General features: G+C 36.5%; 1 protein-coding gene across 8 annotated transcripts in view; it reads right to left on the bottom strand.

The window, feature by feature from the left end:
• The window catches only part of DCAF8L2 (DDB1 and CUL4 associated factor 8 like 2), a 281,002-nt gene that overhangs the window by 68,073 nt on the left and 191,657 nt on the right, over nucleotides 1–21,272 (bottom strand). For 5 of the 8 annotated variants that reach the window (XM_024452372.2, XM_024452371.2, XM_024452374.2 and 2 more), the window contains 2 exons: nucleotides 4,825–4,924; nucleotides 3,958–4,034 (listed from right to left, as the gene is read on the bottom strand). The gene's annotated coding sequence lies outside the window, so the exon portion shown is untranslated. Of the gene's footprint in view, nucleotides 1–1,579; nucleotides 1,743–3,957; nucleotides 4,035–4,824; nucleotides 4,925–21,272 lie in introns of all 8 variants that reach the window. The other 3 variants (NM_001353449.2, NM_001353450.2, XM_024452373.2) reach the window with 2 other exon arrangements.

The raw sequence follows: 21,272 nt of genomic DNA, 5'->3' as shown, positions 1-21,272 counted from the left end.
AAATTAATTTTTGTAGCATAAAAATAGGCTCTGGGAATTTTGAATTAGAAAATATGTAGTATCTGAGCAATCATATAGTTTAGACCACTTATAATAAGAAATCTGGGGTCCAGAAAGATTCAGAGAGTAAATGCTTAAAATGTTGACTATTTCTGAAAGTTATTTTAATAGCAAATTGTTCATAGAATCGATATATTACTTCAGCTACGACAATATAATTTTAATCCAATCACATAAGGTAAATATAGAGCTCTTAAGCAAAATGTATTACTACTGACTGATATATTTTATGTAACAAAATATTGTACAATAAATAATTGACCTGATTGAAATAGATGTACTGTATATTTTTGTTGCTTTAGTGTGTTTTAGTTAGTGAGATATCATTTTAGAGTGGACTTCCCAAAGGACTTGAATTACATTTAGGGCGGTGCAGCTCTAATGACCTGGTTACTTTGTCACCCATTCAAGAGAAGAGACCTAATATCTCACAGTCTAGAGATAAAATATTACGTCAGACCTATTCCCTGTCTCTACTTCTACTTATTGTTTCTACTTTTGCCACCACTTTACCCTCTTTCTACACTTACCTTTATTGTACAGTCTATAATGACTCTGCTTACTTAACATGTGGGGTGTGTGTTTGTGTGTGTGTGTGTGTGTGTATTTAATTTCTGCCTTTGCTATAAACTGCTGTGTCAAGCCCAAACTTACACAGAAGACTTGATTGCTTCTTTTATTCACTGCTGAGTAAAAGGCTTCTCCATTAGCCCAGCTCAAAGGCATGAGCCAACCTATAGATATCTACCTCTAAAACAGTACTCCACCTTTGTTCAGTAATCGTTGGCTAGAGAACCTCTTGATTTTTCTCTAGCATTATCTTCAGTCCAAGCTTCAGCAAAGTTATCCCTGAATGACTTCATCTCCCCAGAGTGTGCTACTAAGTGAACAAGAATGCAGATTTAACCTTCTGAATCCAGCTATCCAATCACCTAAAACTGACTAAATCAAGTTTCTTTTCATAGACAAAGAGTTTTCAAACATATCAAGATCTCAAATGTATCTCCACTTGCTTGGCAATGCTTGAATTCCTTTAACTATAGGACACAGCTTTTCACTTAACAATTGAAAGTATTAAAGTGCCAGTTCTTGGCTGAGGTAATGCAAGAAGGTCAATTAGTCAGTTGTTCAACTATTGTAAAGGCTTGAGTTTTGATACTTTCCAGTTTCAGAGAAAAACTGGACACTGGCATTGGATGGGCAAACAAAAAAAAATAGAGAAAGGGACAGATAACCTGTGAAGTATAGAAAAAAATGTAGAAAGGGAAGGCCAAGCCTCAGTGAATACAATTTTCAGTACTTAAGATATTTTTTAAAATTATTATTCTTTACTTCTAACTTTGTGCAAAAGGAGAGAAGTGATTTACAGAGTGTTTTTATTGGTTTTTCTCATACACATTCATACTCACGCTTACTTTAACAATGCTATTGTGATCCTGCGTGACTGCCAACAGTGGTTGACATGCTTTATGAAGTCTTTTTTTTCTAACTCAGCTACATTGTAGAACGGTTTTATTACCTTGGGACTTGCAGGGCAGGAGCAAACTTTCACAATCCTGCCATAGAGATATGACGACTCTTAGGCTCTGTGCTACTATTCAGTCCATAGGGACCCTGACAAACTCACATTCTTATAGGTCATTCTGATGAACCTCTAAAGTGATGACTTTTTGCAGTAGGATCTAGGAAGAAAGAAGTAAATGGCACCCTAAATGTTTGACTGTGGTGCCAGGGATGGATAGAGAGATAGTTTTTTTACTACCCCAGGAATTTTTTTCTGGAGTCTTGTTGATCTGATACAAAATAAAGGATATATTTACACATCTTGATTTCCTTACCCACTTAACATTCTTGGGGGACCCCTTGAGATATTTGAGAAATGTACCATTTAATGTTGTTCTAGCTAGATCTATTTGCTGGATAAAGCAAAAGCCTGTCCATTTTAGTGGGGCTCAGAGCAAAGAAAGCCACTCTAGCTGGTCTAAGGTACAGGACAAATAACTTTGCCAACTGATCCTTATAAAACAGCATATGCTGTGGTGCTTGAAGTGTCAGAGGCAGGTGGCAATGTGCAATCAAGCCTACTATAAACCTTGAAAGAAGAATAGTGGATGAGGACCCAAGACTTCTGTAGCAAAGTCAGGCCTGCTTTACCAAGTTTATTTTCTTCTTGAGAAGGAGCTCTGGATCAGCTCACAAAGGCTGAATATTTGGCCCGGGGAACAATGGGGATATCTGACCCCAGCTGCTTGTCATGAACTGGATGCAATCTATTACTCCTAGCCATAAAATCTGGTATACTCAGAAGCTCTTAAATATCAAGTGAAAACAGCACTGAGCCCAAGCAGGTTCTAAAGGCATTAGTAATTTGCACAGGCAGATAGCTCATACATCCAGAGTGCCTTACTCCTGCCAAATTACTTCCCCTTCTTCAAACCACATCTGTGGCTTGATGGGTAATTTCCTATGACAAATTAAATAGGAAAAAAAAAAGCTCAAACTGGAATTACAGAGAGCTTTGCTTTACAGCAAAAATGAACTACCACAGCATTACAGTACCAAGGAGGACCCCTCAAGATAAATGAGAAATAGAATCCTTCCACCAAGAGGGATTCAAATAGCAATGAAACACTATTGATCTTTGGCTCCTATAAATATTTGCTCCCTTTAACTTATCTGACATTATTCTCTTTTCTCTTTTTGTCTTCCTCTCACATTTCTAGCCATCCCATCCCTGTCCTTTCTGAAGACCAGTCCTCCTCTGCATAGCCATTATTGAGTTCATCATCTTTAGTTCTAAACTCTCTTTTCCTTTCATCACACATTTCCGTCCACATACATTCAAACTAGGCAATTTTACATGACTTCACTTGTCATAAACACAATGATGACACTTTCATTTACATCTTTAGCCTAGGACTCTGAGCTCCAGATCTACATACATTTTTCATTATGGAAAAATACATATAATATAAAATTTACCATTTTAACCACTTTGAAGCATATAGTTCAGTGGCATTAAGCACATTTACATTGTTGTGCAACCATCAGCAACATCCATCTCCAGCACTTTAAAAAAATCTTCCAGAACTGAAACTCCATACCCATGAAGTAACGCCCTTCCAGCCCCTGACAACCACCATCCTACTTTCTGCCTCTACAAATTTGCCTGTTGTAGCTTCTTCAGATAAGTGGAATAATACAATATTTTCTCTTTAGTGTCTAGCTTATTTCTCAAAGCACAATGTTTTTAAGGTTCTTTCATGTTGTTTCCATGTTGTAGCAAGTATCAGAATCTTATTCCTTTTTAAGGATGGATAATATTCGATTCTATATATACCACATTTTGTTTATCCATTTATCTGTTGATAGACATTTTTGTTGTTTCCACCTTTTGGCTACTGTGAATAATGCTGCTGTGAGCATTAGTATACAATTATATGCTTGAGTCCCTGCTTTCAATTCCTTTGGGTATATACTCAGAAGTGAAATTTCTGGATCATATGGTAATTCTATGTTTAAGTTTTTGAGGAACTTCCATATCATATACTTTTGATATATTTACATTCCCTTTATATTTGAATGTGACATAGACACTTCAAAATAAAATAAAATAAAACGTTTTGTCTTTCCTCCAAAACATAGTCTTTCATTAGTGTTCTCTTGGAGAATGGCACTGCCAACCAGGCACAGAAGCAAACCAGAAAATAAGAAGTCACCCTTGATATAACCCTCCTTCTCACCTTTCATATCATCATCTTGTCAGTTTTAACTCTGAAATATTTTTGAATGTATTTATTTCTATCTCTATAATCATATGTCTAGAAATAAATCTCATTATGGTTCATCTGATTATTTTAACAACCTCCTAACAGATTTATCTACATCCACTCTTACCTCCTTATTAGCACCGCTCCACAGTATGGTCAGAAAGTTCACATGTGATATGATTTTCTTCAATTAAGAAAACACATCTGCAAAAGCAGCAACAGTTAGAGTCAGTGTCTCATTAAGGTTATGATAATCTACTGTTCTTCAAGTCCAATAAATATTCTGTTACCCACCTGCTAAAAATGTTCAGTAGTTTAATAATGTTAGGATAAAGAGCACGATTCTTAATCTGGCCTGCAAGGTCCTGCATGACCTGGCCTCCACTTTTTCCACTTTTCCTACTTTTCCTAAGCTTTATTTCTCACAAACCCCTGCCTGATTTTCTGATCTCCCATCATACTAAGCTTCCTTAGGTTTTTAATTAATTGTTTCCTACTTGGAACAGGGCCATAGTGAACAATATTCTCTTCAACTGGGAAACTATCCTCCATTCTTCATCACCACATGGAAGCTATCCTTTACTTCTAAGATCAGGTGAAACTCCTCTCACAGGCTCTCAATACATTTCTCTTTTTCTTAGCTTATCATAGAGACATTTCTACATTTTATTTGTTTGGGGTTTTGATTAAAATATATTTTTCCTATTAGAAAATAATTCTCAGGAGTGCATCAACCATGTGTACTTTTTCAAACCTTTATATGTCTAGCAGTAGAATAGTTCCTGGCACAGAGAGAACACACAGTGTTTGTGGGATGAAGGAATGAATCTGTTTATGTCTCTGTGTTGCTCACCAGAACTCAACCGCCTTTATCAGAGAAGAGCAAGCCATTGATTTATTCACCTTGTTATCTCCAACATCTGGCATATTTAGCGTTGAACTGAACACCATAATTTCAATTTCAACAGGGTTTTTCGAATTAGCCATGACATACCCTTGTCAACAGTTAGGTTTCTGCTCCTCTCATAACAAGGAAAATCCTACAAACTACATCCCTTTTCCTTTGTAGAGTAGTTGGCTCTCTCTTCTTTTTCCTAGAGGAAGAAGACAGCATTTTGTTTAGGCAAAAAAGTAAGATTAGCAAAGAAAAGTCTGGAGAGAGCTGGTAAAGAGAGCCAGTCTAGGCAAACTTGTCCCCGGGGGATGCAAACTACTTCTAGTTGTCTCAATTTGTTGAAATAGAGAAAAATGCATGCACGAAATCGATACATGAATACCGAATGCCAAGAGCTACAATAATTTTCTCCAGTTAAGAAAACACATCTGCAACAGCAGCAACAGTTAGAGTCCTTGCCTCATTAAGGTTATGGTAATCTACTGCTCTTCTTCAAGTCCCATAAACATTCTGTGCTGACCAAACTGCTGACAATGACCACTCCTACTTATTTGGACTCTTTCTTGGTGGTTCCAACCTCTGCTATTCCTCCAGGGATGTCTTATTCACTGTTTTGGCAGAAAACATGAGGTTCAAAGCCTATTTGAAATTTCCTAAGGTAACATAGTTCCATTGTTAAGATTCTAATATTGTATAAGTAGACATACATTTATTCATATATACATATATATGTACACAAATACTTACATATACTTGCATATCAGACCATGTAAATTCATGTTGAAACTTCCTTTGAAATTTCAGCACTTTAAATTGCTATTCAAGACTATAGTGACATATGTGTCTTCAAAAATTAATGTTAATCAATGCCTTTTATAATTGTACCTGAAATATTTGGATTTCCCTGCCTCAGCACCTAGTAACTCAGGTGAGTAAGCATAAGTTACTATGAGACGCCTACAAAGAGATACAGAGTACTCAATTGTGGTATTACAGGGGAGACTTCAGTGGAATTGAGGACTGATTGCTCTGGGCTTGGGAACTGACTCAAGATTAGAAATGGGGTGATAAACTGTGACTCTCTTTCATGTTGGCTTAAGGCAGGACTAAAATTTTGTTTTCTTTTGGTCTACATTTAGTTATGCAAATTAAACCAAAACTTAAGGTACTTTATGATTAATTAAGCATAGCCAGAGATCTTTGCAAGTCACAGCATCCCTTGACAGCGGATTACTCTGCTTTCTGTGCTACCTGCTGTGATAACTATGTCCACTTTGTTTCTAGTGGTTTACTGTGCTCTACAAACTTATGATCCCATGAAGCTCAGGAAGACAGTCAAATTGCATTTCATCCTACCAGCATTCCTGGCCTAAAGCCAATAAAGCACTCTTTAAATCTTTATGTGTTGTCATCACCTATGTCTTTCTCAAGGCTTTGGTGAAGCAAGACTCTTTGGGTGTGAGAGTGGCTATGTGAGTCACACAGCATTCTTATTCTTAAAGAATTTAACTACCTTCTATACCATGTCAATATGATTTAAAGTGCTTAACATAATGACATTCAAGTTTGCACTAGTCAACTAGAAAACCATTAAAATTTCAACCGGCTAACCAACTAGCACACTGAATACATAGCTTCTACTAAATTAATACATGTAAAATAATCAGTCTGGTTTAGAAATACATTACACCTTCCTTTGTCCGGCATTTTCACAATCTGTTTTCATGATTATTTGCCAAAATTTTACAATGTTTTTTAGCAAAATCCCTCAAATAGCTTTGCTTGAATGCTTCTTTTAACTATTTTTGCTCCGTACTTCAGTATCTCTCCCCACCAGGTCATGTTGAATTTGGATGCTGATTCCCAGTCAAGCAACCATTGTGACAAAAAGGGACATGTTATCTTCCTCAACCAAGAGATGGGGGACAGTTTATGGAGGCAAAGGTGATATAATGGAATTTTAGAGAGTGTTTTGGATATTTCAATTCTTCTGTGTCTTCTAAATCTAACCATTACATTTACTAAAATATTACTCCTTTTCAGATCAAGATTCCAAATTTCACATTTTTAGAGTTTGACTTTAAATGATAAAAAAAATTACTTGGAACAAGAAAGAATCACATGGAATATTCATAAAAGCAATTCCAATTTCATTCTCTTCAGTACCTATGAGTGAGTGTAGTTCACTTTCCATTGGGTGTTAAAAAGGGCAGGTCCCTTGATTTCTCAGCTTACTCTTAAAAAGCAGAAAGTCCTATGTTCACACTAAGTCACAAATAAAGCCTCAATTCTGAATTGAGAGCACCCGGTCCAAAATACTGTTCAATCCTTTCATCTCAATTTGTAGATAAATCTTCTTTGACCTTTCTACAACCGCGGCCTGCTGCAAGTGGAAACCTGTAATTTGAAAAAGGGAGTATGGGTGGCATCATTTTCTCTCCCTGCCTAACATTTCTACTCCACCTTCAGATTCCTGAACCCCTGCCAATGTCAAAGCATTGGGAGAGATGAACAGTAAGGGAAATAGGAAAGTTCTCTCTTGACTGACATTATTGTACAACGGCTTCATGCTCTCTGAACATGAACATGAGAAAGTCAGTGTGCACATCTTTATAGGTTTTTCAGAGGTACTAACTACTGCTGGGCTCTCTATCTCTCCTTGGCAGAGGTGATGCATTCTATTTCTCCAGCTTCTATTCAACCTTTAGGCCCTAGTTTTCTAGTATTTTGCTTTTTCTAATTTTGTCTAAGCAGAAAAAGCCCACATAATTAATATTATTGACTAATATGAATTTTATTTTTACTAGAAATAGGAAGGGGGGCACAATAAGTAAAATAATACCATCAGTATTTATTTTGGAAATGTAATAAGTTACACTCATACACACTTTCACACTTTCTTTAATCTCTTAATAATGACAGGTCTGTATTCCAGTTTTACAGACAATTAAACTGTTAAACTGAGGCATAAGAAAGTTAACTTGCCAAATGTCACTCAACATAATAAGTGGAAAGTATGTCTGACATAAACATCCATGCTTTTAACTACTATGTTATTCTAATTCACTAAGCCAATAATTAATTTGATTCTGATAATGATCCACATTTGGAAAAGTTTGGAAATTTGTGAGTTGTGATGGGTGATTTAAGGGTGATTAACCCCATTAATATATACATGTACTATATACGCATAAAATAAAAAATAAAAGGTGCAAGCTGCCTGGTCTGGTATTTCAAATCTTCTACTTTCTAGCTGTGCAAACTTGGACAAGATGCTTAAACTCTGTGCCGCAGCTACCTTATCCATAAAACACTGACACATATACACTATTGTATTTTATGAAGGGTTGTTATGAAAAATAAATGAATTAATACATGTGAAGTACTCAGAAAAGTGCTTGACATATACATGTAGTATATGTGTGTGTGTATATATATATATACACACAACCACGTATATATACACACACATATGTATATTATATATGCATATATGTGCATGTATACATATATATGTATATATAAGGTAGCTCAAAAAGTGTTCTACATATAGAAGGATTCAGTAGAGGTTAAAAATTATTATTATTATCCTTACTAATATTATACCTAACCCCAAATCTTTTTTTTTTTTTTTTTTGAGATGGAATCTCACTCTGTCACCCAGGCTGGAGTGCAGTGGCACTATCTCGGCTCACTGTAACCTCCGCCTCCCGGGTTCAAACGATTCTTGTGCCTCAGCCTCCTGAGTAGCTGGGACTACAGGCAACTGCCACCACGCCCGGCTAATTTTTGTATTTTTAGTAGAGATGGGGTTTCGCCGTGTTGGCCAAGCTGGTCTTGAACTCCTGACCTCAAGTGATCTGCCTGCCTCAGCTTCCCAAAGTGCTGGGATTATAGGGGTTAGCCACTGTGCTTGGTCCCCAAATCTTGTCTAAAATTCGGGTTGATATTTGGATTCATTAGAAGTTTTCAGAAAATAAAGTATAATAATATAAATTTAACATAAGTATTTAAAAATACTTCCTAGCCAGCTTGCTTTAGGAGTAGTGTGTGCATATTACTGTGTGAGTGTGTGTTTGTGTGTGTGTATGTGTGTGGTGGGGTTGGGATGATAAAGTTACCCAAAACTTCTTCAGGGCTTGTGGGGACTCTGATAGGCCTCAACTGTGCATTTAAGTGAAGATGTCCTAAGGAGAAATTTCATCTTTCTTCAATGTAAAGTAGTATAGCAGCAGTTGCTGGCTTCGTAACTAATTCAAATAATGTGCAGACATTTTTTTCTTATCACTCCAACTGGAAATTCAAATTTGACACGAGAAAAGGCAATGTGAGAGATTTTGAGCAAATAACTGTGAATTACACTTTATCTGAAATTGAGGGATTTTATTTATCAAATATAAAGTTTCGCCCTGTAGTTGTCTTGGCCACAAGTCTTCAGACTGCATTAGTCAGAAATAACTTTTTGCCAACCTCTTTTATTCCTGCTATAGGTGAAGGCCATTTTCTCAAAGTGATTAACTGGCAGTAGTACTCAATCCATTTATCCTTCTTAGGCTTTCCTATTGTAATGCATTGCAATACTCGCCTCTCTCTGTGAAGCTACAAAGAGGCAGTGGCTGTGAAAACTTGAAGGTGGAGTTTCTTAAAATGAAAGTCGAAGACCTAATGAAATTGTTCCAACATTATGTTGGGAGTGTGTAGGAAAACGTAGTGTTCTTCATCTTCTTGAGTGGTATGCTTGGCAAATGTTGTATTTTAACTGATGGCAAGCCAGGGAAAATCATGCGAATATCACTGAATAATTAATTAGTATAGCCAAAGGAATGTTTAAAAACGATTACCCAAATGGCCCGGGCCCTGTGCTTGGCATTACCTCAGTCCTTTGACTACCTTTAGATAAGCTGATCTGTACAAACTGTTGCCCTCATGGAACATTTCCATCCTAATAATATTGACAGATTATTTTACAGTAAATATATTTGCTTAGAAGCAAACACTGTTTGATATGGAATCTTTATATATGTGAAAATTGCTTTGATATATTTCAGCATGCTTCTCTCTAGTTTGTCAGTTTCTAACATTGTATACAGAATTTTGTTTTCCCTTAGGAAGGTATTTTCATTCTGAAGATTTTCATCCTATATTAAGATAGGCTGTTTATGAGCTTAATTAAAACCACTTTTAGTATAGCCTGTACATTTCAATACTTCATACTGGGTTCACTGTTTTAAAAATTGACATGCCTTGAGATTTCAGTGAACTCAATTCATGACTTATTTTGAAAATGATGCTCCCTAATTATATTAATACTACTGAGTAATTGTGTATTTCAGTTAGAATTATTTTAGTTGAAAGTGACAGAAAACACAGACAAAATTATATTTAGCAAATGGGAATGCACAGTCCGAGAAGCTGTGAAGACCAGGTATGGCTTTTCAAGATCTCGAAAATATCTCTGGGTCTTGGATTTCTTCTGTCTCTTGGTTCTCCTTCCTCTGGATTGACATCATTGAAAGTAGGTTTTTATCTGACTGAGGATGGAAAACTATTATCAAAAGAGAGTGGAATCGATGCTGGACAGATAAAAATGTTCACTATAATATTTAGAAATTGATTCTTTTTGTGTATTCAAGAGCGCTTCCCCTTTAAGGATGTGAATTTGGAATATGGCAGAGAAGAGAGTCCTAAGCTTTAAAGCACATTAGAAATTGCTGATAAAGCATTCTTACTAATGTCACAGGAAATATTACTTAATAGTACTTAAGGATTTAGTAAATTAAATGAGAAGTATATAGCAGTTATTTGAGGCAGAATAAAGATGAATTTGGTGAAAAAATAAAAGTTATCAGAAAAATCAGAAGGTTTATTTTTTAACAGTTACCAGACTGTATGTAGAAAGGTACTCAGTAGCAACCAACTACTGGTAGAATTTACCCTGTTATTGTGGTAGGCACAAATTAGTATGACCACCTGGATTACAGATTGTTAAGCGGCCATGCCTGTGATTATGTTAACATAACAGAATCCTCTGTATTTTGGACAAAACATAACCCACATTGGGTAATCTCAGAACCTCATACCACCCCCTCCCCAGTGTGTTTGACCTAAAGAATGGACACAGAACCTGTTTTAGTCCATTTGTGTTGCCATAAAGGAATGCCTAATGTTGAGTAATTAATAAAGAAAAGAGATTTACTTGGCTCACAGTTCTGCAGACTATACAAGAAGCATGGCACCAGCATCTGTTTCTGATGAAGGCCTAAGACTGCTTCCACTTATGGCAGAAAGGGAAGGGAAGTGATGTCAGAGCGATGAGAGAGGAAGGAGGAGACAGGAGGAGGTCAGGCTCTTTCCAATAACCAGTTCCTGTGGGAATTGAGTGAGAACTCACTCACTCCTAGGAGGACAACACCAACCCATTCATGAAAGATCCCTTCTCATAACCCAAACACCTCCCACCAGGTCCCCCTCCAACACTGGGGGATCAGATTTCAACATAAGACTTGTTGGGGCCAAACAAACTATGTCTGAACCATAGCAAGACCCAAGCTGGGTTATGTAGATTCTTTCCTTGATATTCTTTAAACGGTGATGAAAGAGCTAAACCAATTCTATCAGCACCCGTCACAACACTAAAAGGATGTAAGCTCAAAAGAGCCTGCAGCAACAACCCACTTCATGGGAAGATATTGTTTTGAGAGCATAATTTGGCACTTGAAGACAAGCAGAGATGAGAGATAGAGGGGAATGCCCCATAGCATTTTGCTTACTAATTCCGGTGCTCTTTCAGGCCAGCTCCAACTCACCCTCTCCAGATAGTCCAGTCAATAAGCAGGACTTTAGCATAATTGAGTTCAGCTGTAAGTTTGTTACTTGAAATCGGGGCCCTGACTGAACCAATCTCTTAGAAATAAATGAAAACATCAGGGAATATTTTAAGAAGCACTAAACAAACAAACAAACAAACAAAAATAAAACCAAACAAAACTCAGGAAGTATGGTAGTCACAAACTAAAAAAAAAAACAAACAAAAAAAACACTATAAAACAAAGATTATGTAATTGAGACTAGAGAAATTTGTTTCTTGCTTTCTTTTTAGAAATATTGGGTAGGTTATAGAACTAGAAATACCATTTGACCCAGCCATCCCATTACTGGGTATATACCCAAAGGATTATAAATCATGCTGCTATAAAGACACATGCACACGTATGTTTATTGCAGCACTATTCACAATGGCAAAGACTTGGAACCAACCCAAATGTCCAGCAATGATAGACTGGATTAAGAAAATGTGGCATGTATACACCATGGAATACTATGCAGCCATAAAAAAGGATGAGTTCATGTCCTTTGTAGGGACATGGATGAAGCTGGAAACCATCATTCTCAGCAAACTATCGCAAGGACAGAAAACCAAACACTGCATATTCTCACTCATAGGTGGGGATTGAACAATGAGAACACTTGGACACAGGAAGGGGAACATCACACACCAGGGTCTGTCATGGAGCGGGGGCGGGGGAGGGATAGCATTAGGAGATATACCTAATGTAAATGATGAGTTAATGGGTGCAGCACACTAACATGGCGCATGTATACATATGTAACTAACCTGCACATTGTGCACATGTACCCTAGAACTTAAAGTATAATAAAAATAAAAAATAAATAAATAAATAAATAAATGAATAAATAAGAAATATTGGGTAAGTTATTTAGACTAACCAAAACTGGGTAAGTAAATAATCATTCTCTGAGGAAAAAATATAATGGTAGAGCTCTGTGAATGAAGCTTGTCTTAGAAAGAGATTCTAACAGTCAGTGATAGTTTTGGGGATTGGAAAGGCCGAGACCAGGGATACTTTTCAACAGAAAGCTCCATAATATTAAAAAGCAATAAATGTTTTATATTATTAATTTGTTAAGCATGTGATCATTTTCCCTTTACTGTTTGACAATACCCACTTTTTATGATGGAGTGAGGCAACATGAATATTATTATTTTAAAAGATAGGCATTTCTCCTACGATCTTGTTTTGTAAAATTGGGAAATATAGACTATTCTGTGTTATGCTCACATCCTATTGGGCCCTCTTTACTATCTGTGTGCACATGTCTTTCCAGTGAGCTCTTCACTCTTATCAGCCAGTACCTATGTCTGTCTGAAAAATCCCCTCTGGCTGTAGAATTCTTTTTTTTTTTTTTGAGACAGAGTCTCACTCTGTGTCAACCAGGCTGGAGTGCAGTGGCACGATCCCGGCTCACTGCAACCTCCACCTCCCGGATTCAAGCGATTCTCCTGCTGGGATTACAGGCGCCCACCACCACGCCTGGCTAATTTTTGTATTTTCAGTAGAGACGGGGTTTCGCCATGTTGGCCAGGCTGGTCTCGAACTCCCGACCTCAGGTAATCCGCCTGCCTCGGCCTCCCAAAGTGCTGGGATTATGGGCGTGAGCCACCGCGCCTGGCCAGAATTGCTTTTTCTGAGTAGAGGAAACCAGAAATGTCTGGTAATTTATGATCTCCAAGGCGTAGTTCTTAACTAACTGACAGCTGGTCAGCTGTTTGCAGGGTTATAAATATTCCAGTCCCTTTTTCCTCTGGTTGAGACAACTCTAGGTGTGAGCCACACTGTGTCCAGAAAATGGTAACTTTAAGACTAACTCAGTGTTACCCTCTGTAGGACTTTGCTTGACATGCTTCTTTCTGGCATTTTGTTTTCCTCTTTCCTATTTCTTTCCCATTCACCTACCATCTTTTTTCATTGTTCGTTTGCTTGTTTGATTTCCCTTACAAAGACTGCCTGATAAGCCACTTTCATACGAATCCTCATCTTCGAGTCTGTTTTTGAAAAACCACACTGAGTACAGGATGCATCTTATATGCTGACAAACATGTTAGCTGGCAGGATGTATGTAGGATTAAGTCTTATTTCATTTTTTTCTCATTTCTATAGGCTATTTGTCCCTGGTAGAGATACTTTTTCCCCATGCCCAGCAATCTTGTGATTTGCATGTTGGTAAAAATGTAGTGATGGCTTACGTGGAAAGGGACTTTCCTTGCTTGGGAAGAAGCCTTACTGACTGGAACTACATCTTTATCTTGAAAGCCTTCAGAACCATAGCCATCACATTAAGAAGGAGCACTCTAGACTGATAACATATGCCTTGCAAATCTATTCTTTATTAGTGAAAGGACATCATGGTTTCTATCAATTCAGTTTGTATACTTGAGATCAAATTCATGCTATAGAAGTCTGTACCTTTTATATGTAAAATAACAAAATAGCAATATTTGAAGTGAAATGTGATAAATTAATCAGTATGGTAATGATTATTCAAGAAAAGAATTACTGGGCATTATCTTTCATAACATAAAATGCTCACAGAAGAATAAAGATGATTTGCTTTCTATTTTTAAGTATCCTGATAAGCAGTTATTCTCTTTTTCAATCTTCCTTATTATTTAGTATTTTTAAACAAAGCCATAACTCCTAATAACTGCTTACTAACAACATATTTGAGTCAGCCAGAATTTGATTTGCTCAAGCTGACCTTGACTTTTGTGGCTTCTAGTTTGTCTTTGTTCTCTCACAGTTACATATAAGCTATCTAGTACTGTGTCCTTCTCTGCCTGAATCTCCTTGATATTATAAAACAGACCTCTAAAACCACAGTTTGACTTATTTTTCCCAAAATAAATCTTACTTTTAGCTTTATTTTTGCTTAGTACATTTCTTTATTTATTTGGGGGTTATTAAAAAGATGGTTTGCATATTTACTCATTGAACTTCCTGTACAACCTAACCTAGTTGTAGCTTAACAGACAAGAAAAGGTGTGTTTCTACTTATTCTTAATAATCAAAGGATTAACAACAAAATAAAGAACCAACCAGTCACTCACAGAATGAAAATCAGTAGGTCAACATCTGTATCTGTCAGGTGAAACCTGCAACATTTTTTATGGGTTACCTTGTATCGTTCCTTTAACACCGCCCCCCACCCCACCCCTTTCTCTACTCTCCCTCCCCACACACATCATGAACTTTTTAATTGTAAAGGCTCACTATTCCAAGTGTGGTTCTTGAACCAGCAGTATCTGAAAGTATCATTAGGAAGCTGGTTCAAAGTTCAAAATCTTTGGTCCCTACCTAGATATACTAAATCAGAATCTGCATTTCAACAAGTTTCTTCCATTGATTCATATGTACATTAAAGTTTGAAAAGCACTAGTCTAAAGGACAGGGTCTAGTCTTCATTGTGGAAACAAATGAGCCCCTTTAATCTCTTGTGTGGATAATATGTTACAATGAAAGGAAATAGCATTGGACTTGTATTCATTTTAAAATGACATTAATGTGTAAATATGCCATAGAGATAAAAGATGGCACATGATGAAAACAATTCTGTTACAAATTGTCCAGGGTTTTTGCCTTACATCACAGAAGCATAGAAAACAAAATTATCTTTCAAACCAGAATTCAAAAAAATTATAATCTTTCAATTGCTTATATAGCACATTCTACAAAATAATATTGAAAAACAAATATGCTGTGTTACAGGCAGGTTTTTCTGAGTTAGAAAGATCTAAATTATTCAGCCTATCTTGACACTTTTACACCATAGAATATTTTCCATCCAGGTTAAAATATGGTATCTGTTACTTGGATAGATCTGACTTAAAATCATGTAAGCTGTTTACTTGGAAGGTTAAATGGCTCTTTCTTATACTATAATATAAAGTAGTAAGTGTCTCTTATAGCAACTACATGTATTCAAATATAATATTGGCCTTTCCAGAAGAAACATTTGTGAAATAAACCTCCCAATTTTCTCTGAGGTTCCTTATTAAATAAAAACTGTATTTGCTTTATTGTCTAAAATGTTAGAGGCTTTGCAGAGGTTGCACACAATTTAAGAAAAGACTGGTTTCTTATTTTTACTGCAAACTTGCATAAGTAAGTAATATTGTAAACATACACAATTTTAATATTTGTTTTAAGAGGAAATTAACGTCAGAACACAAAAAATATAATTATTGATGAAAGAAGCTATCACTCATTTTTATTACTATTTAATTATTTGGAAAACATGACACATGAGCTTTTATTTCTTAATAGTACATATACAGGTATATGTCAGATATATTGCAGGTTAGGATCCAGACGACTACAATAAAGCAAATATCACAATAAAGCAAGTCACATAGATTTTTTGGCTTTCCAGTGCATATAAAAGTTATGTTTACACTACACTGTAGGCTATTAAGTGTGCAGTAGCATTATGTCTAAAAAATGTACATACCTTAATTAAAAATAATGTATTGCTAAATAATTGCTAATGATCATCTGAGCCCTCAGCGAGTCATGATCTTTTTGCTGGTGGAGGGTCTTGCCTTGATACTGATGACTACTGACTAATTAGGGTAGTAGTTCCTGAAGGTTGGGGTGGCTATGGTAATTTCTTAAAATAATACAAGAAAGAAGTTTGCCATGTTGATTGACTCTTCATTTTACAAAAGATTTCTCTGTAGCATGTGATGCTGTTTGATAGCATTTTATCCACTGTAGAACTTCTTTCAAAATTGGAGCCAATACTCTCAATCCTTGGCACTACTTTAACATCTAAATTTATGTAATATTCTAAAGTCTTTGCTATCATTTCAACAATGTTTAGCCATCTTCCAGGAATAGATTCCATCTCAAGAAATCACTTTCTTTGCTCATCCATAATAAGTAATTCTTCATCCATTAAACTTTTATGATGAAATTGCAGCAATTCAGTCACATCTTCAGGCTCCACTTCTAATTCTTGTTCTTTCTATTTTCACCACATCTGTAGTGACTTCCTCCAATGAAATCTTAAACCCCACAAAGTCATCTATCAAGTTTAGAATCAATTTCTTTTAAATTTTTTGGTAATATTGATATTTTTAAATCCTCCCATGACTTATGAATACTTTTAATGACATCTAGAATGGCGAATCCTTTCCAGAATGATTTCAATTTGCTTTGCCCAGATTTATCAGAGGAATAATTATCTATGGAAGCTACAGCATTATAAAATATAAAAGTAATAAGAATTGAAAGTCAAAATTACCCCTTGATCTATAGGCTGCAGAATGGGTGTTGTTAGCAGGTATGAGAACAATATTAATCTTTTTGTATATTTCCATCAGAGCTCTTGGGTAACTAGGTGCATTGTCAATGAGCAGTAATGTTTTGAAAGAAATCTTGTTTTCTGAGTAGCAGTCTCAATGGTGGGCTTAAAATATTTAGTAAACCATTCTGTAAATAGGTGTTCTACCATGCAGGCTTTTTTTTCTATTTATAGGGCACAGGCAGAGTAAATTTAGCAAAATACTTATAGGCTCTAAGATCTTAGGAATGGTAAATGAATTCTGGCTTTAACTTAAAGTCACCAACTGCCTTAGCCCCTAACAAGAGAATCAGTATGTTCTTTGAAGCTTTGAAGCCAAGCATTGACTTATTCTCTCTGGCTATCAATGTCCTAGACGGCCTCTTCTTCCAATAGAAGGCTGTTTAATTTACATTAAAAATTTTTTGTTGACTGTAGCCACCTTCATCAATTATTTTAGCTAGATCTTCTGGATAACTTGCTGCAGCTTCTCCATCAACACTTGCTACTTCATGTTGCACCTTTTATGTTATGGAGATGGCTTCTTTCCTTGAACCTCATGAAATAACCTCTGTTAGCTTCCAGCTTTTCTTCTTCAAGTTGATCACCTCTCTCAACCTTCACAGAATTGAAGAGCGTTAAAGCCTTGGTCTGTATTAGGCTTTGGCTTAAAGGAATGTTGCGGCTGGTTTGATCTTTCCAGACCACTCAAACTATCTCCATATCAGCACTGAGGTTTTTTCCCCTTTCTTATCATTGATACGTTGACTAGAGTAGCAGTTTTAATTTCCTTCAATACCTGTTCCCTTGCATTTACAACTTGTCTAACTATTTGGCAAAAGAGGCCTAGGTTTTGGCCTATCTCAGCTTTTGAAATGCCTTCCTCACTAAGTTTGATCATTTCTAGCTTATGACTTAAAATGAGAGACATGTGATTCTTCCTTTCACTTGAACACTTAGAGGCCATTGTAGGGTTATCAATTAGCCTAATTTCACCCAGGCATGGTGGCTGACTCCTGTAATCCCAGCACTTTGGGAGGCCGAGGTGAGTGGATCACCTGAGGTCAGGGGTTTGAGACCAGTCTGACCAATATGGTGAAACCCCATCTCTACTTAAAAAAAAAAAAAAAAAAAAAAAATTAGCCAGGTGTGGTGGCACACACCTGTAGTGACAGCTACTCGGGAGGCTGAGACAAGAGAATTGCTTGAATCTGGGAGGTGGAGATTGCAGTGAGCCAAGATCAAGCCACTGCACTCCAGCCTGGGTGACAGAGCAAGACTTCATCTCAAAAAATAAAATAAATAAAATATAATTAGCCTAATTTCAACATTGTTGTGTCTCAGGGAGTAGGAAGGCCCAAGGAGAGAGGGAGATAGGGGGAAAAGCTATCAGTGGATAGCTATAGGGTAGAGCAGTCAGAACACACACAACATTTATCTATTAAGTTTGGTGTCTTATATTGTTGTGTGTGGCACTCCAAAGCAATTACAATAGTAACATCTAATATCACTGATAGCAGATCACCACAACAGATACAATAAAAATGAAAAAGTTTCAAGTATTGTGAGAATTGCCAAAATGTGACACAGAGACACAAATTGAGTCCATGCTGTTGGAAAATGGCACCTACTTACTTGCTCAATGCAGAATTGCCATCATTCTTCAATTTGTAAAAAATATAAAACAAAACAAAAACTCTCACAATATCTGCCAAGTGCAATAAAGCAAAGCACTATAAAATGAGTTATGTCTATATACAGAGAATCCTTCCCTTTAATGAGTTTTGGTTGTTGTTATATTTTCTTTAATTGCATTACTTTCACTCTATGGGATACCATTGTGAACTGCTGGTAGATTGCCACTGTCTGCTATAATTTATTTTATGCTATGTCTTGAAGCTCAGGTGACCAAGATTATTTTCATGTGCCATTTGCTAATATTACTTTAACAAATATTGCAATACCTATTATATGAAGAATGTAAGTTTGATAATAGGAATGCAATAGGAAATAAAATATCTCTACCCACAACTCATATTCTAATTGGAGATGAAGGTCAAGTAAAAATATAATTATTTTTATATATTATAAACCTTGAATCATCATAGGCAAATATGAAAGGTACACTGAACTTCTGTGCATCAGATCAATTTTTTATTGCCCTATTTTCTGCAACACAATGTTAGGAATAATCTCCTAACACTCTTATATGGGTCATCTGGATTATAAATTTACATGGCTATTTTGTAAGATATTTGGCCACTTCACAAGTGTTTTGAAATGAGTGTTAAATCATTTATTTTGAAACAATAGTTCCACACCTAGGAATTTCTAGAGGTAACAATTAGACATGTGCACGAAGAGATATGTAAAAGAATATTCACTCCAGTATTGTTTGTGATAAAGAGAAAATGCCACAGCTACATAATGCTATGCTACCATTAAGATGATGTTGTAGAACATATTTAATGGCATTGAAAGGTATAAATAATATATTAAATGATAAATTTACAAAAGAAAGTGGATAATGTTATCTCTCTTTTGAAAGAAAATATGTGTGTATGGATGTGTCTAGAAAACTTCAAACAACATATGTATCAAAATACCTCTAGATGGTAATATTTAGAAAAAATGGAAAAAATATCCCTATTTTCTTTTATATGTGTGCATATATATTCTTCCTAAGAATAAATAGACTAATTTTTATGATTTGATGCTTCACAGAGGACATTTTGTTTCATATTTATCCCTATGGATAACTTCTAAAATTATTTATAGATCATCTCCTGCACAGACGCAAATCTTTACAGACATAATATCTATATTTCTCTATCTCTTGCTCTTCTTTCTTCACTTGCTACACCTCTCCCCTGATCTTATCATCCCAAGAATGGATTATAATATTTATCCCTAAGTGTCCTAAATATTTCATTAAAGTATTTTGAAATTGCCGAAATTTGAAAATATTTATTGATTCTATTTCTAGTATATTTAAAACATTTCCATATCTGTTCTCATTGCATTCTATTTTCCCAAATTGTCTTAGCTAAAAAAACACTAAGTTTATTTCAGTGTAAGAAAAACTGAGTCTCATATAAGTTTCCAGACATCCCAGGAAGTGGTTATTTACTCAAAATCTTCACAGTATTTTTGTGACTCTCTTGCCACAGCATGAGTGAAATATTTCTCACTGATATTTTCCTCTATCATGTGAGAAAGGCGTATTACTGTTTCTCTGTATGCAGGACATACATTTTTCAGTGTCAAGTTGGGTGGTTAATGAAACTTGTTCATTCCATTTTCCTAAAAGCTAAGCACTTATAAATATTTTTCATGATTCTCATTATGATTTACTGTATCTAAATATTCTTTTTAATTCCAGTAATAATATAGACTTAGATAACATTAAGTTAACAAGCATATATTAATCCCCTACTACAAGATAGCATAATATCAGGAACATTGGGAAAACAAATAAATATGAAAAAAAGAAAACACTGGATTAGAGCTCTGAGAGGTCTTCAAGGTGGCTGACTGACTAGAAGCAACCAACACTCATCTCCTCTACAAAGAAGTACCAAAACGACAGATCGATAACCACAAGTCAAATGGAAGTTCTAGCAGAGAACACTGGAATTCACCAATAAAGTGATAGAGACCCTCTGAGGCACAGAAATGCAAGATGGCAGCATAGAGAAGGGAAGCAGCCAACCAGGATTAGCTCAAAGCCAACAAACTCCTCATTTTGGGGAAAACTTAAACTGTAGATCTCCAGCAATCCACATTTCTACCACAGATGCCTGCAATCCTAACTAGAGGAGAGCCCCTCAGCAGTCACAAGCCCTAAGCCTATTACAGAGAGCTGCCTGGAGTCCACATGACTGCATTATCCCAGACAGGGAATTCACACTGGGTCTGACTCACACCCCAGCACCCAGGCTGCAGCAGCACAGTGCCATTTTGAGAGCAAAGCCACCACCAGGTGACATCATGCTCTGGGCCAAATAGCCCCTGCATTTCCACATGCCTAGGTCCACACTGACATCTTCCTACATCCACTCAGAGGGCTACAGTATAGGAAAACCAGCTGGAATCAATAATACTGCTGTCTCCCCAGCATCTGAACCCATGCTGTTTACTACACCCCAGGAAGGAGAATGTTTGGCACATCAGGGAGGCTGCCCTCAGGATACAGGGAACTAAAGTACATGCTCCCCGGCACCTGAGACTTGCCTGCCTGGGGCAGCAGCCACTGACATTGACCCGGCCCAGTCCAGCAGTAGAACCACCCTACATCTGTGCACTGCCCAGAAGGCCAAGGACTGGCCCATCCAAGGCCCAATCCCTCCATCACCAGTGCCCACGTGCACTAACCAGTGGCCTGAGGACTGCACATGCGACATGCC

The sequence above is a fragment of the Homo sapiens genome, chromosome X (genome assembly GCF_000001405.40).
Source record: "Homo sapiens chromosome X, GRCh38.p14 Primary Assembly".
Classification (NCBI taxonomy): Eukaryota; Metazoa; Chordata; class Mammalia; order Primates; family Hominidae; genus Homo; species Homo sapiens.
Note: the sequence above shows the minus strand (reverse complement) of the source record. Positions and strands in the feature narration are given on the sequence as shown.